Source organism: Homo sapiens, chromosome 20 (assembly GCF_000001405.40).
Source record: "Homo sapiens chromosome 20, GRCh38.p14 Primary Assembly".
In the NCBI taxonomy this organism is placed as follows: Eukaryota; Metazoa; Chordata; class Mammalia; order Primates; family Hominidae; genus Homo; species Homo sapiens.
In genome coordinates this window covers 25,696,865-25,724,346 of record NC_000020.11, presented here as the reverse complement: position 1 = coordinate 25,724,346, position 27,482 = coordinate 25,696,865, and the positions used below count along the sequence as shown (strand labels likewise).

The 27,482-nt window shown below is 38.7% G+C and overlaps 1 long non-coding RNA gene across 2 annotated transcripts in view, besides 2 other annotated features; it reads right to left on the bottom strand.

The window, feature by feature from the left end:
- LOC107985400 (uncharacterized) overlaps positions 1–27,306 on the bottom strand; it is a 51,102-nt gene extending 23,796 nt beyond the window's left edge. Inside the window, exon 1 of one of the 2 annotated variants that reach the window (XR_007067557.1) lies at positions 27,184–27,306. This is a non-coding gene — a long non-coding RNA (uncharacterized LOC107985400). The remainder of the gene's footprint in view (positions 1–27,183) is intronic. The other variant, XR_007067556.1, reaches the window with a different exon arrangement.
- Positions 4,379–4,894: an enhancer, noted in NCBI's record as "NANOG-H3K27ac-H3K4me1 hESC enhancer chr20:25700089-25700604 (GRCh37/hg19 assembly coordinates)". NCBI's record gives its function as "activates a minimal SCP1, AML or CMV promoter by ChIP-STARR-seq in naive and primed H9 embryonic stem cells {active_cell/tissue: H9 hESC(naive and primed)}" and the evidence as "EXISTENCE:reporter gene assay evidence [ECO:0000049][PMID:30033119]".
- Positions 4,895–5,410: an enhancer, noted in NCBI's record as "NANOG-H3K27ac-H3K4me1 hESC enhancer chr20:25699573-25700088 (GRCh37/hg19 assembly coordinates)". NCBI's record gives its function as "activates a minimal SCP1, AML or CMV promoter by ChIP-STARR-seq in naive and primed H9 embryonic stem cells {active_cell/tissue: H9 hESC(naive and primed)}" and the evidence as "EXISTENCE:reporter gene assay evidence [ECO:0000049][PMID:30033119]".

The following is a 27,482-nucleotide window of genomic DNA, read 5'->3' as shown; positions in this document are numbered from 1 at the left end:
CAAAATACAAAGGATCAATGAAACAAAAAAATTAGTTCTTTGAAAAGATATACAAAACTGATAAACCACTAGCTAGACTAACTAAGAAAAAAATAAAGACGCAAATAAACACAATCAGAAATGACAAAGGAGACATTACAACTGATACCACAGAAGTACAAAGGTCACTAAAGACTATTACAAACAAGTATTCACAACTTAGATAACCTAGAGTAAATGGATAAATTCCCGAAAACACACAATTTCCCAAGATTAAACCAGGATAAAAGAGGATTCCCAAAGAGACAAATAATTGGTAGTGAGACTGAAATCAGTAATAAAAAATCTCTCAACAAAAAAATCCCAGGATCAGGAGGATTCACAGCCAAATTACACCAAACATACAAAAAAAATTAATACCTATTCTTTTGAAACTATTCTAAAACATAGATAAGCAGGGAATCCTCAACAAAACACTAAAAAATGGAATCCAACAGCACATCAAAAAGATACCACACCACGATCAGGTGTAATTTATCCCAAGGGCGGAAGGATGGTTTAACATATGGAAATCAGTAAGTGTGATATATCACATCAACAGAATTAGAAACAAAAACCATATGATCATCTCAACAGATGCAGAAAAGGCATCCAATAAAACTCAGCATCACTTCATGATAAAAATCCTCAACAAACTAGGCATAGAAGAAATATACTTCAACATAATAAAGATTATATACAACAAACCCACAGCCAACATCATACTTTTTAAAAAATAGAAACCCTTCAGATCCTCCTGTGTATCATTCATCTATAAGAATGTGGTAGTATTTCTGCTTATTCCAAGAGGGCAGCTGATTAATATCAAACTCTTTTTCTTTCTCCCACTAGAATCAGAAGACCTTTCAAAACAGGATTTTCTTGTTCACTTGTTTTACCTACATCCTTAGCAACTAGCACAGGGCCCTAAATAGAGAAATTTGAAAATACATTTAATGATGCTAGTAGAAATATTTCTGAGGACATGTTTTGTGCATAAGGAAATGAGTAAGAAGACATTTTCCCTACTTTTTGCAAAGACCTCAATCCTAAGGCTAAAATATGCATTACCTAATCTCATAATTCTATCTCGTTTTTTAAAATTTTAGATTCAGGGGTACCTGTGCAGGTTTTTTATATGGGTATATTTTCTGATGCTGAGGTTTGGGCTTCTAATGATCTGTTGCCCAAGTAGCAAACATAGTACCCAATAAGTAATCTCCCAACCCTTGTTCCCCATCCTTCCTCCCCTAATTTAGAGTGTCCCATGTCTACTCTTCCCATCTTTGTGTCCATGTGTACCCAACAACATCATATCTAATATGGGAAAGTTGAAAGCATTTCCTGTAAGAACTAGAACAATACAAGGATGCCGACTTTCACTATTCTTATTCAACACAGTACTGGAATTTCTTGCCAGAGCAATCAGGCAGAAGAAAGAAATAAAATGCATCCAAATTGGAAAAGAGGAAGTCAAGTTACCCCTGTTTGCTGATGATATAATATTATTCCTGAAGAACCCTAAAGATGCTGCCCAAAATTCTTAAATTTGACAAAGGAAGCAGTGAGCGTCAGGATACAAAATTAATGTACAAATATCAGTAGTGTTTATATACACAAATAATGAGCCAGCCAAAGGCCAAATCAAGAAAACAATCCCATTTACAATAGCTACAAAAAAATACCGAGGAATATCTTTGACCTAGAAGCTGAAAGACTTCTAGAAGGAGAACTACAAAACACTGATGAAAAAAATCCTAGATGACATAAACAAATGAAAAACCCCCACGCTTATAAATTAGAATATGCAATATCATTAAAATGACCATACTGTTCAAGGCAAACTACAGATTCAACACAATCCCTATCAAATTACCAATGTTATTTTTCACAGAATTAGAAAAAAAAATCCTAAAATTAATATGGAACCAAAAAAAGGGCCTGAACAGCCAAAGCAATTCTAAGGAAGAAGAACAAAGCTGGAGGCATCACATTACCTGTTTTCAAATTATACTACAAAACTATAGAAACCAAAACAGCATTGTACTGGCATAACATAGACACATAGATCAATGGAGCAGAATAGACAACTCAGAAATAAAGCCCCATACCTACAACCAACTTATCTTTTAAAAAGTCAACAAAAATATATTCTGGGGAAATGACACCCTATAAATAAGTGGTGCCAGTAAAATTGGATAAACACATATGGGATAATAAAACTGGACCCATACCTCTCAAAATATACAAAAATAAACTCAATATGGATCAAAGACCAAAGTGTAAGACCTGAAACCACAGAAATCCTAGAAGAAAACTTAGGAAAAACCCTTCCAGACATTGGTCTAGGCAAAGAATTAATGACCAAGTCCTCAAAAGCAAATGCAATAAAAATAAACAGACGAGATAATTTAACTAAAAAGTTTCTGCACAGCAAAAGAAATAATTAATAAAGTAAACAGACAACCTATAAAGTGGGAAAATATATTTGCAAACTATGCATCCAACAAAGCGCTTACATCCAGAATCTACAAGGAACTCTAACAACAAAACAACAAGAAACAACCCCATTAAAAAGCGGGCAAAGGATACAAACAGACATTTTTCAAAAGAGTACCTACAAGCAGTCAACAAACATGAAAAATGCTCAATATTTCTAATCATCAGAGAAATAAAAATTAAAATAGTAAAATACAATCTTATACCAGTCAGAATGGCTATTACTAAAAAGTCAAAAAAAACAAAACAGATGTTGATGAGGATGTGAAGAAAAGGTAATGCTTATATACTGTTGGTAGAAATGTAAATAAGTACAACCTCTACGGAAAACAATAAGGAGATTTCTCAAAGAACTAATAACAGAACTACCATTTGATCCAATTCCATTACTGGGTATATACCCAAAGGAAAAGAAATCAGTATATCAAAAATATACCTGCACTCATGTTTATCACAGACCTATTCACAATTGCAAAAAAAGAAATAAACATACATGTCCATCAGCGGAGAACTGGATATAGAAAATACTACTCAGCCATAAAATCATGTCTTTTGCAGCAACACTGATGGTATTGAAGCCCATTATCTTAAGTGAAAAACTCAGAAACAGAAAGTCAAATACTGCATGCCATCACTTGTAAATGAGAGCTAAACAATTGATACATATGGACATACAGAGTGAAATAATACGCATTGGAGACTACAAAAGATAGGAGGGTGGGAGAGAGGTGATGGTTGAAAATTTACCTATTGGGTACAGTGATCACTATTAAGGTGACGGGTACACTAAAAGCCCAGTCTACCCAACAGTATGCAATATATGCATGTAAGAAATCTGCACTTGTACCTACTAAAGAAATGAAAAATAAAAATTAAAAAGTATAACAAGTACAACTATGTAAGGTACATAATCTTTTATGGTGATTGGAGGCTCCCATTGAAAAAAAAACATAAGCCAGGATTCTGCTCCAAGACAGCCGAATAGGAACAGCTCCCGTCTGCAGCTCCCAGCATGATCAATGCAGAAGATGGCAATTTCTGCATTTCCAACTGAGGTACCTGGTTCATCTTACTGGGACTGGTTGGACAGTGGATGCAGCCCATGGAGGGTGAGCCAAAGCAGGGTGGTGCATCACCTTACCTGGGAAGTGCAAGGGGTCAGGGGATTTCCCTTTCCCAGCCAAGGGAAGCCAAGTCAGACTGAACCTAGAAAATCCGGACACCCTCACACAAATACTGTGCTTTACCTACAGTCTTAGCAAATGGCACACCCAGAGATTATATCTCGCACCTGGCTTGGCAGGACCCACACCCACAGAGCCTTGCTCACTGCTACAGCAGCAGTCTGAGATCGACCTGTGAGGCAGCAGTCTGGCAGTGGGAGAGGTGTCCGCCATTGCTCAGGCGTGAGTAGGTAAACAAAGTGGCCTGGGAAGCTTGAACGGGGCAGAGCCCACCGCAGCTCTGCAAGGCCTGCTGCCTCTGTAGACCCCACCTCTGGGGGTGGGGAATAGCTAAACAAAAGACAGCAGAAACTTCTGCAGACTTAAATATCCCTGTCTGACAGCTCTGAAGAGAGAAGTGGTTCTCCCAGCATGGTGTTTGAGCTCTGAGAATGGATAGACTGCCTCCTCAAGTGGGTCCCTGACACGCATGTAGCCAAACTGGGAGACACCTCCCAGTAGGGGCCAACTGACACATCATACAGGAGGGTGCCCCTCTGGGATGAAGCTTCCAGAGGAAGGATCAGGCAGCAACATTTGCTGTTCTGCAATATTTGCTGTGCTGCAGCCTCTCCTAGTGATATCCAGGCAAAGAGGGTCTGGAGTGGACCTCCAGCAAACTCCAACAGACCTGCAGCTGAGGGACCTGACTCTTAGAAGGAAAACTGACAAACAGAAAGGAATAGCATCAACATCAACAAAAGGGACATCCACAGCAAAACCCCATCTGTTGGTCACCAGCATCAAAGACCAAAGGTAGATAAAACAAGAAAAATGGGTCTTTGGGATGGATGGAGCCAAGATGACTGAACAGGAACAGCTCTGGTCTACAGCTCCCAACGTGAGCGATGCAGAAGATGGGTGATTTCTGCATTTCCATCTGAGGTACCGGGTTCATCTCACTAGGGAGTGCCAGAGAGTGGGCACAGGACAATGGGTGCAGTGCACCGTGCACGAGCTGAAGCAGGGCGAGGCATTGCCTCACTTGGGAAGCGCAAAGGGTCAAGGAGTTCCCTTTCCTAGTCAAAGAAAGGGGTGACAGATGGCATCTGGAAAATTGGGTCACTCCCACCCTAATGCTGCACTTTTCGGACAGGCTTAAAAAACGGCACAACAGAAGATTATATCCCACACCTGGCTTGGAGGGTCCTATGCCCATGGAGTCTCGCTGATTGCTAGCACAGCAGTCTGAGATCAAACTGCAAGGCGACAGTGAGGCTGGGGGAGGAGCGCCTGCCATTGCCCAGGCTTGCTTAGGCAAACAAAGCAGCCAGGAAACTCGAACTGGGTGGAGCCCACCACAGCTCAAGGAGGCCTGCCTGCCTCTGTAGGCTCCACCTCTGGGGGCAGGGCACAGACAAACAAAAAGACAGCAGGAACCTCTGCAGACTTAAATGTCCCTGTCTGACAGCTTTGAAGAGAGCAGTGGTTCTCCCAGCACACAGCTGGAGATCTGAGAACGGGCAGACTGACTCCTCAAGTGGGTCCCTGAACCCTGACCCCCGAGCAGCCTAACTGGGAGACACCCCCAGTAGGGGCAGACTGACACCTCACACGGCCGGGTACTCCTCTGAGACAAAACTTCCAGAGGAAAGATCAGACAGCAGCATTCACGGTTCACGAAAATCTGCTATTCTGCAGCCACCGCTGCTGGTACCCAGGCAAACAAGGTCTGGAGTGGACTTCTAGCAAACTCCAACAGACCTGCAGCTGAGGGTCCTGTCTGTCAGAAGGAAAACTAACAAACAGAAAGGACATCCACATCAAAAACCCATCTGTACATCACCATCATCAAAGACCAAAAGCAGATAAAACCACAAAGATGGGGAAAAAACAGAGCAGAAAAATTGGAAAAACTGGAAACTCTAAAAAGCAGAGCACCTCTCCTCCTCCAAAGGAATGCAGTTCCTCACCAGCAATGAAACAAAGCTGGACGGAGAATGACTTTGATGAGTTGAGAGAAGAAAGCTTCAGATGACAAAACTACTCTGAGCTACAGGAGGAAATTCAAACCAAAGGCAAAGAAGTTAAAAACTTTGAAAAAAATTAAGACGAATGTATAACTAGAATAACCAATACAGAGAAGTGCTTAAAGGAGCTGAAGATGCTGAAAGCCAAGGCTCAAGAACTACGTGAAGAATGCAGAAGCCTCAGGAGCCGATGCAATCAAATGGAAGAAAGGGTATCAGTGATGGAAGATGAAATGAATGAAATGAAGCGAGAAGGGAAGTTTAGAGAAAAAACAATAAAAAGAAATGAATAAAGCCTCCAAGAAATATGGGACTATGTGAAAAGACCAAATCTACATCTGACTGGTGTACCTGAAAGTGATGGGGAGAATGGAACCAAGTTGGAAAACGCTCTGCAGGATATTATCCAGGAGAACTTACCCAATCTAGCAAGGCAAGCCAGCATTCAGATTCAGGAAATACAGAGAATACCACAAAGATACTCCTCGAGAAGAGCAACTCCAAGACACATAATTGTCAGGTTCACCAAAGTTGAAATGAAGGAAAAAATGTTAAGGGAAGCCAGAGAGAAAGGTCGGGATACCCACAAAGGGAAGCCCATGAGACTAACTGCTGATCCCTTCACAGAAACTCAACAAGCCAGAAGACAGTGAGGGCCAACATTCAACATTCTTAAAGAAAAGAATTTTCAACCCAGAATTTCATATCCAGCCAAACTAAGCTTCATAAGTGAAGGAGAAATAAAATACTTTACAGAAAAGCAAATGTTGAGAGATTTTGTCACCACCAGGCCTGCCCTAAAAGAGCTCCTGAAGGAAGCACTAAACATGGAAAGGAACAACCGGTAACAGCCACTGCAAAATCATGCCAAATTGTAAAGACCATCAAGGCTAGGAAGAAACTGCATTAACTAACGAGCAAAATAACCAGCTAACATCATAATGACAGGATCAAATTCACACAAAGCAATATTAACTTTAAATGTAAATGGAATAAATGCTCCAAATAAAAGACACAGACTGGCAAATTGGATAAAGAGTCAAGACCCATCAGTGTGCTGTATTCATGAAACCCATCTCACGTGCAGAGACACAGATAGGCTCAAAACAAAAGGATGGAGGAAGATCTACCAAGCAAATGGAAAACAAAAAAAGGCAGGGTTGCAATCCTAGTCTCTGATAAAACAGACTTTAAACCAACAAAGAACAAAAGAGACAAAGAAGGCCATTGCATAGTGGTAAAGGGATCAAATCAACAAGAAGAGCTAACTATCCTAAATATATATGCACCCAATACAGGAGCACCCAGATTCATAAAGCAAGTCCTGAGTGACCTACAAAGAGACTTAGACTCCCACACAATAATAATGGGAGACTTTAACACCCCACTGTCAACATTAGACAGATCAACGAGACAGAAAGTTAAGAAGGATACCCAGGAATTGAACTCAGCTCTGCACCAAGCAGACCTAATGGACATCTACAGAACTCTCCACCCCAAATCAACAAAATACACATTTCTTTCAGCACCACACCACACCTATTCCAAAATTGACCACATACTGGGAAGTAAAGCTCTCCTCAGCAAATGTAAAAGAACAGAAATTATAACAAACTGTCTCTCAGACCACAGTGCAATCAAACTAGAACTCACGATTAAGAAACCCACTCAAAACCACTCAACTACATGGAAACTGAACAACCTGCTCCTGAATTACTACTGGGTACATAACAAAATGAAGGCAGAAATAAAGATGTTCTTTGAAACCAACGAGAACAAAGACACAACATACCAGAATCTCTGGGACACATTCAAAGCAGTGTGTAGAGGGAAATTTATAGCACTAAATACCCACAAGAGAAAGCAGGAAAGATCCAAAATTGACACCCTAACATCACAATTAAAAGAACTAGAAAAGCAAGAGCAAACACATTCAAAAGCTAGCAGAAGGCAAGAAATAACTAAAATCAGAGCAGAACTGCAGGAAATAGAGACACAAACAACCCTTCAAAAAATTAATGAATCCAGGAGCTGGTTTTTCGAAAGGATCAACAAAATTGATAGACCACTAGCAAGACTAATAAAGAAGAAAAGAGAGAAGAATCAAATAGACGCAATAAAAAACGATAAAGGGGATATCACCACTGATCCCACAGAAATACAAACTACCATCAGAGAACATTACAAACACCTCTATGAAAATAAACTAGAAAATCTAGAAGAAATGGATATATTCCTCGACACATACACCCTCCGAAGACTAAACCAGGAAGAAATTCAATCTCTGAATAGACCAATAACAGGAGCTGAAATTGTGGCAACAATCAATAGCTTACCAACCTAACAGAGTCCAGGACCAGATGGATTCACAGCTGAATTCTACCAGAGGTACAAGGAGGAACTGGTACCATTCCTTCTGAAACTATTCCAATCAATAGAAAAAGAGGGAATCCTCCCTAACTCATTTTATGAGGCCAGGATCATCCTGATACCAAAGCCGGGCAGAGACACAACCAAAAAAGAGAATTTTAGACCAATATCCTTGATGAACATTGATGCAAAAATCCTCAATAAAATACTGGCAAACCGAACCCAGCAGCACATTAAAAAGCTTATCCACCATGATCAAGTGGGCTTCATCCCTGGGATGCAAGGTTGGTTCAATATACGCAAATCAATAAATGTAATCCAGCATATAAACAGAACCAAAGACAAAAACCACATGATTATCTCAATAGATGCAGTAAAGGCCTTTGACAAAATTCAACAACCCTTCTTGCTAAAAACTCTCAATAAATTAGGTATTGATGGGACGTATCTCAAAATAATAAGAGCTACCTATGACAAACCCACAGCCAATATCATACTCAATGGGCAAAAACTGGAAGCATTCACTTTGAAAACTGGCACAAGACAGGGATGCCCTCTCTCACCACTCCTATTCAACATAGTGTTGGAAGTTCTGGCCAGGGCAATTAGGCAGGAGAAGGAAATAAAGGGTATTCAATTAGGAAAAGAGGAAGCCAAATTGTCCCTGTTTGCAGATGACATGATTGTATATCTAGAAAACCCCATTGTCTCAGCCCAAAATCTCCTCAAGCTGACAGGCAACTTCAGCAAGGTCTCAGGATACAAAATCAATGTACAAAAATCACAAGCATTCTTATACACCAATAACAGACAAACAGCCAAATCATGAGTGAACTCCCATTCACAATTGCTTCAAAGAGAATAAAATACCTAGGAATCCAACTTACAAGGGACGTGAAGGACCTCTTCAAGGAGAACTACAAACCACTGCTCAATGAAATAAACGAGGATACAAACAAATGGAAGAACATTCCATGCTCACGGGTAGGAAGAATCAATATCGTGAAAATGGCCATACTGCCCAAGGTAATTTATAGATTCAATGCCATCCCCATCAAGCTACCAATGACTTTCTTCACAGAATTGGAAAAAACTACTTTAAAGTTCATATGGAACCAAAAAAGAGCCCGCAACGCCAAGTCAGTCCTAAGCCAAAAGAACAAAGCTGGAGGCATCACACTACCTGACTTCACACTATACTACAAGGCTACAGTAACCAAAACAACATGGTACTGGGGTATCAAAACAGAGATATAGATCAATGGAACAGAACAGAGCCCTCAGAAATGACGCCGCATATCTACAACTATCTGATCTTTGACAAACCTGAGAAAAACAAGCCATGGGGAAAGGATTCCCTATTTAATAAATGGTGCTGGGGAAACTGGCTAGCCATATGTAGAAAGCCGAAATTGGATCCCTTCCTTACACCTTATACAAAAATTAATTCAAGATGGATTAAAGACTTAAATGTTAGACTTAAAACCATAAAAACCCTAGAAGAAAACCTAGGCATTACCATTCAGGACATAGGCTTGGGAAAGGACTTCATGTCTAAAACACCAAAAGCAATGGCAACAAAAGACAAAATTGACAAATGGGATATAATTAAACTAAAGAGCTTCTGCACAGCAACAGAAACTACCATCAGAGTGAACAGGCAACCTACAAAATGGGAGAAAATTTTTGCAGCCTACTCATCTGACAAAGGGCTAATATCCAGAATCTACAATGAACTCAATCAAATTTACAAGAAAAAAACAAACAACCCCATCAAAAAGTGGGCGAAGGACATGAACAGACACTTCTCAAAAGAAGACATTTATGCAGCCAAAAAACACATGAAAAAATGCTCACCATCACTGGCCATCAGAGAAATGCAAATCAAAACCACAATGAGATACCATCTCACACCAGTTACAATGGCAATCATTAAAAAGTCAGGAAACAACAGGTGCTGGAGAGGATGTGGAGAAATAAGAACACTTTTACACTGTTGTTGGGACTGTAAACTAGTTCAACCATTGTGGAAGTCAATGTGGCAATTCCTCAGAGATTTAGAACTAGAAATACCATTTGACCCAGCTGTCCCATTACTGGGTATATACCCAAAGGACTATAAATCATGCTGCTATAAAGACACATGCATACGTATGTTTATTGTGGCACTATTCACAATAGCAAAGACTTGGAACCAACCCAAATGTCCAACAATGATAGACTGGATTAAGAAAATGTGGCACATATACACCATGGAATACTATGCAGACATAAAAAATGATGAGTTCATGTCCTTTGTAGGGACATGGATGAAATTGGAAATCATCATTCTCAGTAAACTATCGCAAGAACAAAAAACCAAACACAGCATATTCTCACTCATAGGTGGGAATTGAACAATGAGAACACATGGACACAGGAAGGGGAACATCACACTCTGGGGACTGTTGTGGTGTGGGGGGAGGGGGAAGGGATAGCATTAGGAGATATACCTAATGCTAAATGATGAGTTAATGGGTGCAGCACACCAGCATGGCACATGTATACATATGTTAACTAACCTGCACATTGTGCACATGTACCCTAAAACTTAAGGTATAATAATAATAATTTTAAAAAACCAGAAAGATGGGGAGAAACCATGGCAGAAAAGCTGAAAATTCTAAAAACCAGACCACCTCTTCTCCTCCAAAGGATCGCAGATCCTTACCAGCAACGGAACAAAACTGGATGGAGAATGAATTTGACAAGCTGGCAGAAGTAGACTTCAGAAGGTCGGTAATAACAAACTTCTCCAAGCTAAAGGAGGATGTTGGAACCCATTGCAAGGAAGCTAAAAACATTGAAAAAAAGATTAGATGAATGGCTAACTAGATTAAACAGTGTAGAGAAGACATTAAATGACCTGATAGAGCTGAACACCATGGCACAAGAACTACGTGATGCATGCACAAGCTTCAATAGCCAACTCAATCAAGTGGAAGAAAGGGTATCAGTGATTGAAGATCAAATTAATGAAATAAAGCAAGAGGAGAAGTTTAGAGAAAAAAGTAAAAAGAAACGAACAAAGCCTCCAAGAAATATGGGACTATGTGAAAAGACCAAATCTACGTTAGATTGGTGTATCTGAAAGTGACAGGGATAATGGAACCAAGCTGGAAAACACTCTGCACGATATTATCCAGGAGAACTTCCCCAATCTAGCAAGGCAGGCCGACATTCAAATTCAGGAAATACAGAGAACACGACAGATACTCTTTGAGAACAGCAACCCCAAGATGTATAATTATCAGATTCACCAAGGTTGAAATGAAGGAAAAAATGTTGGGGCAGCCACAGAAAAATGTAGGGTTACCCACAAAAGGAAGCCCATCAGACTAACAGTGGATCTCTCCACAGAAACTCTACAAGCCAGAAGAGAGTGGGGCCAATATTCAACATTCTTAAAGAAAAGAATTTTCAACCCAGAATTTCATATCCAGCCAAACTAAGCTTCATAAGTGAAGGAGAAATAAAATCCTTTACAGCCAAGCAAATGCTGAGAGATTTTGTCACCACCAGGCCTGCCTTACAAGGGCTCCTGAAGGAAGCACGAAACATGGAAAGGAACAAACAGTACCAACCACTGCAAAAACATGCCAAATTGTAAAGACCATTGATACTAGGAAGAAACTGCATCAACTAATGAGCAAAATAACCAGCTAACATCATAATGACATGATCAAATTCACACATAACAATATTAACCTTAAATGTAAATGGACTAAATACTCCAATTAAAAGACACAGACTGGCAAATTGGGTAGAGTCAAGAACCATCAGTGTGCTGTATTCAGGAGACCCATCTCTTGTGCAGAGACACATATAGGCTCAAAATAAAGAGAAGGAGGAAGACCTACCAAGCAAATGGAAAGCAAAAAAACCAGGGGTTGGAATCCTACTCTCTGATAAAACAGACGTTAAACCAACAAAGATCAGAAGAGACACAGAAGGCCATTGACAAAGAAGGCCATTACATAATGATAAAAGGATCAATGCATCAAAAAGAGCTAACTATCCTAAATATATATGCACTCAATACAGGAGCAATCAGATTCATAAAGCAAGTCCTTAGAGACCTAAAAAGAGACTTAGACTCCCACACAATAATAATGGGAGACTTTAACACACCACCATCAGTATTAGATCAATGAGACAGAAGGTTAAGAAGGATATCCAGGACTTGAACTCAGCTCTGCACCAAGCGGACCTAATAGACATCTACAGAACTCTCCACCCCAAATAAACAGAATATACATTCTTCTCAGCACCACATTGCACTTATTCCAAAATTGACCACATAGTTGAAAGTAAAGCACTTCTCAGCAAATGTAAAAGAAAAGAAATCAGAACAAACTGTCTCTAAGACCACAGTGCAATCAAATTAGAGCTCAGCATTAAGAAACTCACTCAAAACTGCACAACTACATGCAAACTGAACAACCTGCTCCTGAATGACTACTGGGTAAATAGCAAAATGAAGGCAGAAATAAAGATGTTCTTTGAAACCAATGAGAACAAGGACACAATGTATCAGAATCTATGGGACACATTCAAAGCAGTGTGTAGAGGGAAATTTATAGCACTAAATGTCCAGAAGAGAAAGCAGGAAAGATCTAAAATCCACACCCTAATGTCAGTATTAAAAGAACTAGAGAAGAAAGAGCAAACAAATTCAAAAGCTAGCAGAAAAGAAATAACTAATATCAGAGCAGAACTGAAAGAGAGACCAAAAAAACAAAAAAAAACAAAAAAAAAACCCTTCAAAAAGTCAATGAATCCAGGAGCTGGTTTTTGAAAAGATCAACAAAACTGGTAGACTGCTAGCAAGACTAATAAAGAAGAAAAGAGAGAAGAATCAAATAGATGCAATAAAAAATGATAAAGGGGATATCACCACCAATACCACAGAAATACAAACTACCATCAGAGAAAACTATAAACACCTCTATGCAAATAAACTAGAAAATGTAGAAGAAATGGATAAATTTCTGAACACATACATCCTCCCACGACTAAACCAGGAAGAAGTTGAATCTCTGAATAGACCAATTAACAGGCTCTAAAATTGAGGCAATAATTAATATCCTACCAACCAAAACAAGTCCAGGACCAGAGGGATTCACAGCCGAATTCTACCACAGGTACAAAAAGGAGCTGGTACCATTCCTTCTGAAACTATTCCAAACAAAAAAAGAGAGAATCCTCCTTAACTCATTATATGAGGCCAGCATCATCCTGATACCAAAGCCTGGCAAAGACACGACAAAAAAAAAGAGAATTTTAGACCAATATCCCTGATGAACACCAATGTGAAAATTCTCAATAAAATACTGGCAAACTGAATCCAGCAGCACATCAAAAAGCTTATCCACCACAATCAGGTCGGCTTCATCCCCAGGATGCGAGGCTGGCTCAACATATGTAAATCAATAAACATAATCCATCACATAAACAGAATCAATGACAAAAACCACACGATTATCTCAATAGATGCAGAAAAGGCCTTCGACAAAATTCAGCAGCCCTTCATGCTAAAAACTCTCAATAAACTAGGTATTGATGGAACGTATCTCAAAATAATAAGAACTATTTATCACAAACCCACAGGCAATATCATACTGAATGGACAAAAACCGGAAGCATTCCCTTTGAAAACTGGCACAAGACAGGGATGCCCTCTCTCACCACTCCTATTCAACATGGTGTTGGAAGTTCTAGCCAGGGCAATCAGGCAGGAGAAAGAAATAAAGGGTATTCAGTTAGGAAAAGAGGAAATCAAATTGTCCCTGTTTGCAGATGACATGATTGTATATTTAGAGAACCCCATTGTCTCAGCCCAAAATCTCCTTAAGCTGATAAGCAACTTCAGCAAAATCTCAGGATACAAAATCAATGTGCAAAAATCACAAGCATTTCTACACACCAATAGCAGACAGAGAGCCAAATCATGAGTGAACTCCCATTCACAGTTGCTACAAAGAGAATAAAATACCTAGGAATCCAACTAACAAGGAATGTGAAGGAACTCTTCAAGGAGAACTACAAACCACTGCTCAAGGAAATAAGAGAGGACACAAACAAATGGAAAAACATTCCATGCTCATGGATAGGAGGAACAGTATTGTGAAAATAACCATACTGCCCAAGGTAATTTATAGATTCAATGCCATCCCCATCAAGCTACCAATGACTTCCTTCATAGAATTGAAAAAACCTACTTTAAAGTTCATATGGAACCAAAAAAGAGCCCAAATTGCCAAGACAATCCTAAGCAAAAAGAACAAAGCTGGAGGCATCATGCTACCTGACTTCAAACTATACTACAAGGCTACAGTAACCAAAACAGCATGTTACTGGTACCAAAACAGAGAGATAGACCAATGGAGCAGAACGGAGGCCTCAGAAATAACACCACACATCTACAACCATCTGATCTTTGATAATCCTGACAAAAACAAGAAATGGGGAAAGAATTCCCTATTTAATAAATGCTGCTGGGAAAGCTGGCTAGCCATATGTAGAAAGCTGAAACTGGATCCCTTCCTTACACCGTATACAAAAATTAATTCAAGATGCACTAAAGATGTAAATGTAAGACCTAAAACCATAAAAACCCTAGAAGAAAACCTAGGCAATACCATTCAGGACACAGGCATGGGCAAGGACTTCATGACTAAAACACCAAAAGCAATGGCAATAAAAGCCAAAATTGACAAATGGGATCTAATGAAACTTAAGAGCTTCTGCACAGCAAAAGAAACTACCATCAGAGTGAACAGGCAGCCTACAGAATTGGAGAAAAATTTTGCAATATAGCCATCTGACAAAGGGCTAATATCCAGAATCTACAAATAACTTAAACAAATTTACAAGAAAAAACCAACCCCATCAAAAAGTGGGCAAAGGATACGAACAGACACTTCTCAAAAGAAGACATTTATGCAGTCAACAGACACATGAAAAAATGCTCATCATCACTGGTCATTACAGAAATGCAAATCAAAACCACAATGAGATACCATCTCACACCAGTTAGAATGGCGATCAATAAAAAGTCAGGAAACAACAGATGCTGCAGAGGATGTGGAGAAATAGAAACGCTTTTACACTGTTGGTAGGAGTGTAAATTAGTTCAACCATTGTGGAAGACAGTGTGGCAATTCCTCAAGGATCTAGAACTAGAAATACCATTTGACCCAGCAATCCTATTACTGAGTATATACTCAAAGGATTATAAATCATTCTTCTATAAAGACACATGCACACCTATGTTTATTGCAGCACTATTCACAATAGCAAAGACTTAGAACCAACCCAAATGCCCATCAACGTTAGACTGGATAAAGAAAATGTGACACATATACACCATGGAATACTATGCAGCAATAAAAAAGGATGAGTTCACGTCCTTTGCAGGAACATGGATGAAGCTGGAAACCATCATTCTCAGCAAACTAACACAGGAACAGAAAACCAAACACCACATGTTCTCACTTAGAAGGTGGAGTTGAACAATGAGAACATATGGGCACAGGGAGAGGAACATCACACACTGAGGCCTGTCAGAGGCTGGGGAGCAAGGGGAGGGATGTCATTAGGAGAAATACCTAATGTCGATGATGGGTTGATGGGTGCAGCAAACCACCATGGCACATGCATACCTATGTAACAAACCTGTACGTTCTGCACATGTATCCCAGAACTTAAAGTAAAATAAAAATAAATAAATAAATAAGAAATTGAAAAAAATTAAGCCAATAAAAAACCCAAAACTTAAAAACTGAGAAATAAATAAATCACAAGGAAATTAAACCATACCACCAGAGAAAACCACTTTTACACAAAGGAAGACAGGAAGTAAGGAAGAAAAGAAGAGAGGATTGATAAAGCAACTAGTAAACAAATAACAAAATGGCAGTATTGAGTTCTTACCTATAAATGCCAATATTGAATGTAAATGGCCTAACTTCTGCAATCAAAAGACATAGAGTCCTTGAGTGGTAATAAAACAACAACCAAATATATGCTCCTACAAGAAACTCACTTTATCTATAAAGGCATGCAAAGACTGGAAATAAAGGGATGGAAAAAGATATTCCATGCAAATGCAAGCAAAAAAAGAACAGGAGTAGCTATATTTGTATCAGAGAAATAAATTTCAAGACATAAATGGCAAAAAAGAGGCAAATAATGTGTTATATAATGATAAAGAGGTCAATTCAGCAAAAGGATATAAAAAATTGTAAATATATGTACAACCCACACCAGTGGACCAAGATCTATAAAGCAAATGTTATTAGAGCTAAAAAGAGAGTGAAACCCTAATAATAACAGCTGGGGACTTTAACACCCCACTTTCATTATTGGACAGACTATTTGACAGAAAATCAACAGAGAACATCAGACTTGATCTACACTATAGAACAAATTAATCTAATAGACATTTAAAGAACATCTCATCTTTAAGCCCAACAGACCTGAAAGGTAAAAACAAACATTTTTTTTAAGAATATGCCATCAAACAGCTGCAGAACACACATTCTTCTCAGTACATGGAATATTCTCCAGGAAAGACCATGTGTTAGGCCACAAAACATGCCTCAAAAAAGTAAAAAATTGAATGGTATGAAGTATCTTTTCTGACCAAAATGGAAAACTGAAAATCAATAACAAGAGAAACTTTGGAAACTACACAAACTTGTGGAAAATACATCACATGCACCTATAAAATGACTTGGTCAATTAAAAAATAAGAAAATTTTAAAATTTTGAAATAATGAAAATGGAAACACAACATCCCAAAACCTAAATAGTAGTACTAAGAAAGCAAAAATAGTAGTACTAAGAAAGAAGTTTATCGCAATAGATGCCTCCATCAAAAAAGCTCTTAAAAACTTTAAACAACCTAATGATGCACCTTAAAAAGACCTAGAAAAGCAAACGCAGACGAAGTCTAAAATTAGAAGAAAAGAAACAATATAGATAAGAGCAGAAATCAGTGATTGAGACAAAAAAAAAAAAGACCAGTGAAACAACAAAAATGGTTTTTTGAAAAGATAAACAGGTTGCTGGCAAGATGGCCAAATAGGAACAGCTCCGAGCGAGATCGACACACAAGGCAGGGTGACTTCTCCATCTCCAACTGAGGTACCCAGTTCATCTCATTGGGACTGCTTGAACAGTGGGTGCAGGCCACGGACGGTGAGGCAAAGCAGGGTGGGGCATCACCTCACCCAGGAAGTGCAAGCATTCAGGGGATTTCCCTCCCCTAGCCAAAGGAAGCCATGAGAGACTATACCAGGAGGAATAGTGCCTCCTGGTTGGCCCAGATACTGTGATTTTTCCATGGTCTTCACAGCCAGAAGACCAGGAGATTCCCTCTAGTGGCTACACCACCAGGACCCTGGGTTTCAAGCATAAAACTGGGCGGCCGTTTGGACAGACACTGAGCTAGCTGCAGGAGCTTTTTTTTTTCATACCCCCGTGGCATCTGGAATGCCAGCGAGACAGAACCGTTCATTCCCCTGGAAAGGGGGCTGAAGCCAGGGAGCCAAGTGGTCTGGCTTGGCGGTCCCACACCCATGGAGCCCAGCAAGCTAAGATCCACTGGCTTGAAATTCTCACTGCCAGCACAGCAGTCTGAGGTCGACCTGGGACACTTGAACTTGGTGGGGATTGGGGCATCCGCCATTGCTGAGGCTTGAGTAGGTGGCTTTACCCTCAGAGTGTAAACAAAGCCATGTGAAGTTCGAATTGTGGGGAGCCCACCACAACTCAGCAAGGTCCCTGTGGCCAGACTGCCTCTCTAGATTCCTCCTCTCTTGTCAGGGCATCTCTGGACAAAAAGGCAGCAGCCCCAGTCAGGGACTTAAAGATAAAACTCCCATCTCCCTGGGACACAGCACTTGGGGGAAGGGTGACTATGGGCACAGCTCTAGCAGACTTAAATGTCCCTGCCTGACAGCTCAGAAGAGAGCAGCAGATCTCCCAGCACAGTGTTCAAGCTCTGATAAGGGACAGACTGCCTCCTCAAGTAGGTACCTGACCCCTGTGTATCCTGACTGGGAGACATCTCCCAGTAGGGACCAACAGACACCCCATACAGGAGACCTCTGGCTGGCATCTGGTAGGTGCCCTCTGGGGCAAACCTTCCAGAGGAATAAACAGGCAGCAATCTTTGCTGTTCTGCAGACTCCACTGCTGATACCCAGACAAACAGGGTCTAGAGTGAACCTCCAGCAAACTCCAGGGAACCTGCAGCAGAGGAGCCTGACTGTTAGAAGAAAAATTAACAAACAGAAAGCAATAGCATCAACATCAACAAAAAGGAAAACCATGCAAAAACTCCATCCAAAGGTCACCAACAGCAAACACCAAAGGTAGATAAATCCATGAAGATGGGGAGAAACCAGTCCAAACAGGCTGAAAATTCCAAAAAACAGAATGCCTCTTTTCCTCCAAAGCATCACAACTCCTCACCAGCAAGGGAACAAAACTGGATGGAGAATGAGTTTGACCAATTGACAAAAAGAGACTTCAGAAGGTGGGTAATAACAAATGCCTCTGAGCTAAAGGAGCATTTCTAACCCAATGCAACGGAGCTAAGAACCTTGAAAAAAGCTTAGACGAGTTACTAACTAGAATAACCAGTTTAGAGAAGAACATAAATGACCTGATGGAGCTGAAAAACAGCATGAGAACTTCATGAAGCATACACAAGTATCAATAGCTGAATTGATCAAGTGGAAGAAAGGATATCAGAGATGGAAGATCAACTCAATGAAATAAAGCGAGAAGACAAGATTAGAGCAAAAAAAGAGTTAAAAGAAATGAATAAAGCCTCAAAGAAATATGGGACTATGTGAAAAGACCAAACAAATCTACATTTGATTGGTGTGCCTGAAAGTGATGGGGAAAATGGAATCAAGTAGGAAAATACTCTTCAGGATATTATCCAGGAGAACTTTCCCCAACCTAACAAGGCAGGCCAACACTCAAATTCAGGAAATATAGACAAACCACAAAGATACTCCTCGAGAAGAACAATCCCAAGACACAAAATCTTCAGATTCACCAAGGTTGAAATGAAGGAAAAAATGTTAAGGGCAGCCAGAGAGAAAGGTCGGGTTACCCACAAAGGGAAGCCCATCAGACTAAAAACAGATCTTCCAGCAGAAACCCTACAAGCCAGAATAGAGTGTGGGCCAATATTTAACATTCTTATAGAAAAGAATTTTCTACCCAGAATTTCATATTGAGCCAAACTAAGCTTCATAAGCAAAGGAGAGCGAAGGAGAAATAAAATCCTTTACAGACAAGCAAATGCTGAGAGATTTTGTCACCACCAGGCCTGCCTTACAAGAGCTCCTGAAGGAAGCACTAAAATGGAAAGGAACAACCAGTACCAGCCACTGCAAAAACATACCATATTGTAAAGACTTTCCATGCTAGGAAGAAACTGCATCAACTAACTGACAAAATAACAGCTAGCATCATAATGACAGGATCAAATTCACACAAAACAATATTATCCTTAAATATAAATGGACTAAATGCCCCCAATTAAAAGACACAGACTGGCAAACTGAATAGTCAAGACCCATCAGTGTGCTGTATTCAGGAGACGCATCTCATGTGCAAAGACTCACATATGCTCAAAATAAAGGGATGGAGGAATATTTACCAAGCAAATGGAAAGGAAAAAAAAAGCAGGGGTTGCAATCCTAGTCTCTGACAAAACAGAGTTTAAACCAACAAAGATCAAAAGAGACAAGGCCATTACGTAATGGTAAAGGGATCAATGCATCAAGAAGAGCTAACTATCCTAAATATATATGCACCCAATACAAGGAGCACCTAGATTCATAAAGCAAGTTCTTAGAGACCTACAAAGAAACTTAGACTCCCACACAATAATACTGGGAGACTTTAACACACCACCATCAATATTAGACAGATCAACAAGACAGAAAATTAACAAGGATATCCAGGACTTGAACTCAGCCCTGGACCAAGTAGAACTAATAGACATCTACAGAACTCTCCACCCCAAATCGGCAGAATATACATTCTTCTCAGCACCACGTCGCACGTACTCTAAGATTGACCACATAATTGGAAGTAAAACACTACTCAGCAAATGCAAAAGAATGGAAATCACAACAAACTGTCTCTCAGATCACAGTGCAATCAAATTAGAACTCAGGAATAAGAAACTCCCTCAAAACTACACAACTACATGGAAACTGAACAACTGGCTCCTGAATGACTACTGGGTAAATAACGAAATTAAGGCAGGAATAAAGATGTTCTTTGAAACCAATAAGAACAAAGACACAACGTACCAGAAGCCCTGGGACACATTTAAAGCAGGGTATACAGGGAAATTTATAGCACTGAATGCCCACGAGAGAAAGCAAGAAAGATCTAAAATTGACACCCTAGCATCACAACTAAAAGAACTAGAACAGCAAGAGCAAACAAATTCAAAAGCTAGCAGAAGGCAAAAAATAACTAAGATCAGAGCAGAACGGAAGGAAATAGAAACACAAAAAAAACCTTCCAAAAAATCAATGAATCCAGGACCTGGCTTTTTGAAAAGTTCAAGAAGATAGACCGCTAGCCAGACTAATAAAGAAGAAAAGAGAGAAGAATCAAATAGATGCAATAAAAAATGATAAAGAGGATATCACTACTGATCCCACAGAAATACAAACTATCATCAGAGAATACTATAAACACCTCTATGCAAATAAACTAGAAAATCTAGAAAAAATGGATAAATTCCTGGACATATACACTCTCCCAAGACTAAACCAGGAAGAAGTCAAATCCCTGAATAAACCAATAACAACTTCTGAAATTGAGGCAGTAACTAATAGCCTACAAACCTAAAAAAGTCCAGGACCAGATGGATTCACACCCAAATTCTATGAGAGGTACAAAGAGGACCTGGTACCATTCCTTCTGAAACTATTGCAAACAATAGAAAAAGAGGGAATCCTCCCTAACTCATTTTATGAGGCCAGCATCATCCTCACACCAAAACCTGGCAGAGGCACAACAAAAAAAGAAAATTTCAGGCCAATATCCCTGATTAACATCAGTGTGAAAATCCCCAATAAAATACGGGCAAACCAAATCCAGCAGGACATTAAAAAACTTATCCACCACGATCAAGTCAGCTTCATCCCTGGCATACAAGGCTGGTTCAACATATGCAAATCAATAAACGTAATCCATCACATAAACAGAACCAATGACAAAAACCACACGATTATCTCAATAGATGCAGAAAAGACTTTCAACAAAATTCAACAGTCCTTCATGCTAAAAACTCTCAGTAAACTAGGTATTGACTGAATGTATCTCAAAATAATAAGAACTATTTATCACAAACCCACAGCCAATATCATACTGAATGGGCAAAAGCTGGAAGCCTTCCCTTTGAAAACTGGCACAAGACAAGGATGCCCTCTCTTACCACTCCTATTAAACACAGTATTTGAATTTCTGGCCAGGGCAATCAGGCAGGAGAAAGAAATAAAGGGTATTCAGTTAGGAAAAAAGGAAGTAAAATTGTCTCTGTTTGCAGATGACATGATTGCATATTTAGAAAACCCCATCATCTCAGCCCAAAATCTCCTTAAGCTGATAAGCAACTTCAGCAAAGTCTCAAGATACAAAATCAGTGTGCAAAAATCACAAGCATTCCTTTACGCCAGTAACAGATAGCCAAATCATGAGTGAACTACCATTCTCAGTTGCTACAAAGAGAATTAAATACCTAGGAATACAACTTACAAGGGATGTAAAGGACCTCTTAAAGGAGAACTACAAACCACTGCTCAAGGAAATAAGAGAGGACAAAAGCAAACAGAAAAACATTCCATGCTTATGGATAGGAAGGATCAGTATCATGAAAATGGCCACACTGCCCAAAGTAATTTATAGATTCAATGCTATCCACATCAAGCTACCACTGATTTCTTCACAGAATTGGAAAAAAACTACTTTAAATTTCATATGGAACCAAAAAAGAGCCCGTATAGCCAAGACAATCCTAAGAAAAAAGGACAAAGGCATCACCCTATCTGACTTCAAAGTATACTACAATGCTGCGGTAACAAAAACAGCATGGTACTGATACCAAAACAGAGAGATAGACCAATGGAACAGAACAGAGGCCTCAGAAATAACACCACACATCTACAACCATCTGATCTTTGATAATCCTGACAAAAACAAGCAATGTAGAAAGAATTCCATATTTAATAAATGGTGTTGGGAAAACTGGCTATCCATATGCAGAAAGCTAAAACTGAATCCCTTCCTTACACCTTATACAAAAATTAACTCAGGTTGAATTAAAGACTTAAACGTAAGACATAAAACCATAAAAACCCTAGAAGGAAACCTAGGTAATACCATTCGGGACATAGGCATGGGCAAAGACTTCATGACTAAAACACCAAAAGCAATGGCAACAAAAGCCAAAATTGACAAATAGGATCTAATTAAACTAAAGAGCTTCTGCACAGCAAAATAAACTATCATTAGAGTGAACAGGCAACCTACAGAATGGGAGAAAATTTTTGCAATCTATCCATATGACAAAGGGCTAATATGCAGAATCTACAAAGAAGGTAAACAAATTTACAAAAAATAAAAATAAAAAAAATTGGGTGAAGGATATGAACAGAAACTTCTCAAAAGAAGACATTTATGCAGCCAACAGACACATGAAAAAATGCTCATCATCACTGGTTATTAGAGAAATGAAAATCAAAACCACAATGAGATACCATCTCATGCCATTTAGAATGGTGATCATTAAAAAGTCAGGAAACAACAGATACTGGAGAGGACGTGGAGAAATAGGAACACTTTTACACTGATGGTGGGAGTGTAAATTAGTTCAACCATTGTGGAAGACATTGTGGCAATTCCTCAAGGATCTAGAACTAGAAATACCATTTGATCCAGCAATCCCATTACTGGGTATATACCCAAAGGATTATAAATCATTCTACTATAAAGACACATGCACTTGTATGTTTACTGCAGCAATGTTCACAATAGCAAAGACTTGGAACCAAACCAAATGCCCATCAATGTTAGACTGGATAAAGAAAATGTGGCATATATATACCATGGAATACTATGCAGCAATAAAAAAGGATGAGCTCATGTCCTTTGCAGGGACATGGATGAAGCTGGAAACCATCATTCTCAGCAAACTAACACAAGGACAGAAAACCAAACACCACATGTTCTCACTCATAAGTGGGAGTTGAGCAATGAGAACACATGGACACAGGGAGAGGAACATCACACACTGGGGCCTGTCGGACCGTGGGGGTCTGGGGGAGAGATAGCATTAGGAGAAATACCTAATGTAGATGCTGGGTTTATGGCTGCAGCAAACCAGCATGGCATGTGTATACTTATGTAACAAACCTGAACGTTCTGCACATGTACCCCAGAACTTAAAGTATAATTTTAAAAAAGGTAAAATTCACAAACCTTTAGCCAGACTAAGAAAAAACAGAAGACCAAAACAAATAAAATCAGAAATGAAAAAGGAGACATTACAATTGATACCATAGAAATTTAAAGGATCATTAGAAATGATTATGAGCTACTATATGCTATTAATTTGGAAAATCTAGGAGAAACTGATACATTCCTAGATACATAAAACCTAAGATTGAACCATGAAAATATCCAAAACATGAGTAGACTAATAACAAATGAGATAGAAGCAGTATTAAAAAGTATCCCATCAAAGAAAAGCCCAGGACCTGACGGTTTCATTGCTGAATTCTACCAAACATTTTATAAAGAACTAGTATCAATCTATGCAAACTATTTAAAAAAAAGAAAGAAAGAAGGATCACTTCCAAACTCATCCTATAAGGTCAGTATTATCCTAACACCAAAACCATACAAAGATGTACAAAAAAAGAAAACTATAAGGCAATATCTCCAATAAACAGAGACACAAAAATCCTTAACAAAATGCTTGCAAACCAAATTCAACAACACATTAAAGTGATTACTCATCATGACCAAGTGGAATTCATCCCAGGAATGCAAGGATGGCTCAATATATGTAATTCAATAAATGTGATATATCATATCAAAAAAACAAAAGACAAAAACCATATGATCATCTCAATGGATACCAAAAAAGCATTTGTAAAATTCAACATCCCTTCATAATAAACACTCAAAAAAAAAAAAAACTCGGTGTAAAAGGAATATACCTCAATATTATAAAAACCATATGTGACAAACCCACAGCTAGTATCATACTGAAAAATTGAAAGCCTTTCCTGTAAGATCTGGAAGAAGACAAAGATTCCCACATTCCACACTTTTATTCAACGTAGTACTAGGAAATCTTAGCTAGAGCAATTACTGAAGACAAAGAAATAAAAGGTATTCAAATTAGAAAGGAAGAAGTGAAGTTATCCTTGTTTGCAGATGATATGATCCTATATTTAGTTAAACCTAAAGACTTCAGCCAAAAAACATTAGAATTGATTAAGAAATTCAGTAAAGTTTCAGGATACAAAATCAACATACAAAAATGGGTGGCATTTCTATATGCCAACAACAAACAATCTGAAAAAGAAATCAAGAAAGTAACCTGTTTATAAAAGTTACAAATAAAATAAAATAGCTAGGAATAAAATCAACCAAAGATGTGAACGATCTCTACAACAAAAACTATAAAACATTGATGAGAGAAATTGAAAAGGATACAAAAAATGGAAAGATAGTCCGTGTTTTTGGACTAGAAGAATTAATCTTATTAAAATGTCCATTCCACCTTGTCTACAGATTCAATGCAATCCCAATCAAAATATCAATGACATTCTTCACAGAAATAGATAAATTAATCCTAAAATTTATATGGGACCATGAAAGATCCAAAATAGCCAAAGCCATCCTGAACAAAAGTAATAAAGCTGGAGGAATCACATTACCTGACTTCAAATTATGCAAACTATAGTAATCCACACAGCAAAATGCTGGCATAAAAACAGGCACACAGACCAATGGAACAGAGTGGAGAGCCCAGAAATAAATCCACACATTTATAGTTCAACTTATATCCCACAAAGGTGCAAAGAACTTACATTGGGGAAAGACAGTCATTTCAATAAATGGCACTGCAAAAACTGGATATCCATTTGCAGAAGAATGAAATCTAAAGCAATCCCCTCACCACATATAAAAATCAAATCAAAATGGATTAAAGGTAAATCTAAGACCTGAAACTATAAAACTACTAGAAAAAAACATTGGGGAAACACTCCAGGACATTGGTGTGGACAAAGATTTCTTGAGTAAGACTGCAAAAGCACAAGCACCTAAAGCAAAAGTGGACAAATGAGACCACATCACATAAAAATCTTCTGCAAGCAAAGGAAACAATCAACAAAGTGAAGTGACAATCCACAGAATGGGAGAAAAAATTTGCAAACTATCCATCTGAAAAGAAAGTAATTGCCAGAATATATATAAGGAGCTAAAACAACTCAATAGGAAAAAGACAATCTGATATTTTAAATGGAGAAAAGATCTGAATAGGCATCTCTCAAAATAAGATATATGAACGGCCAACAAGTGTATGAAAAAAAATGCTCAATGCCACTAATCATCAGAGAAATGTAAATCAAAACCGCAATGAGATATAATGTCACCCCAGTCAAGATAGCTTTTATTCAAGAGACAGGCAATAGTGAATACTGGTGAGGGTGTGGATACACCCTCATACACTGTTGTTAGGAATGTAAATTAGTACAACCACTATGGAGAGCAGTATGGAGGTTCCTCAAAAGAATTAATAAATATATACATGATCCCGCAATCCCACTGCTGAGTATATATCCAAAAGAAAGGAAATCAGTATTTCAAGGATATATCTGCACTCTCATGTTTACTACAGCACTATCCAAAATAGTAAAGATATAGAATCAAAGTGTCTATCAACAGATGAATGGATAAGGAAAGTGTGGTACATTAACACAATGGGATATTAGCCAGTCATTAAAAGAATGAAATTCTGTCATTTTCAATAGCATGTATGAAAATGGAGGACATTATGTTAAGCGAAATGAGGCACAGCATGACAAATATCACATGTGCTCACTCATTTGTGGGGCTAAAAACGTGAACTCATGGAGATGGAGAGTAGAATGAGATAGTTAACAGAGGCTGGGAAGGATGGTGGGTAGAGGAGATAAAGAGGGACTTGTTAATCGATACAAAAATACAGTTAGAATGAATAAGATCTAGTAGTTGGTAGCACTATACAGTGACTATAGTTAAGAACAATTTTACTATATATTTAAAAATAAGAGAGAATTGGAAACTTCCTAAAACAAAGAAATGCTAAATGCTTGAGGGGATGGATACCCCAATCACCCTCATTTGACCATTAAACACTGTATGCCTGTATCAAAACATAACATGTACCCTATAAATATGTACAACTAATATTTATCCAGAATAATTAAAAATTTAAAAACCAAAAGAGAAAAAGCAAACAGCAAGTATACCTAGTAAAGGCCTGAAATATAAAGTCTACGTGGTTTGGCAAGCCACAAAAGATATCAGCATATTATACACCCTACATAATGAAAGAATTCTGGCATTGATGCATAATTAGATAAATGGGGGAACAATTAGAAATTGAAATGCAAATGTAAATTGAGTATACTGAATTATGTAGCTGAAACCTTAAATTATTTGGTAAAAGACTATATTTTTAATAAATTTAATGGGAAATTAATAAAATATTAGAAAATTTTAAAAATAATTGTATATTTACAGTGTGTACCTGGAGAAAAATTAAACCATTGAGAGATCTAAATGTGAATGATAAAACCACAAAATCCGTAGGAAAATCAGAGATCAAAAGTACTACATAGCAAAAAAAAGAAACAAAAGAAAAAAAAAAGACATACCCATAATCAAAAGACAGTGGGAAAATTATTTACCTATATCATAGAAATGGGAAAATATGCTTAATGTATGTATAGGGCTACCTAAATAAAAGAAATCGCCGGTTCTGAAAGGATCCCTCCACGTCCAAACGACCATAGGCTCGCCCCACCTGTCAGAGAGGAGTCCTTCCGAGAAGTCCTTCCAAGGATTCCGGGTCGCGCAGTCCCGGGTGGACCGCTATGACCAATATTCTGGGGCGTGTACCTGGACGACTCCCGAGGACTCTGGGGAGTGTAGTCCACCGAGGGGATGCGACGCGCAGGGTCGCATAGCCTCCGGGCCGCGCCGAGGATGCTGGGTAGCGTAGTCCCGGCCGCGCTGAGGATTCTGGGTAGTGTAG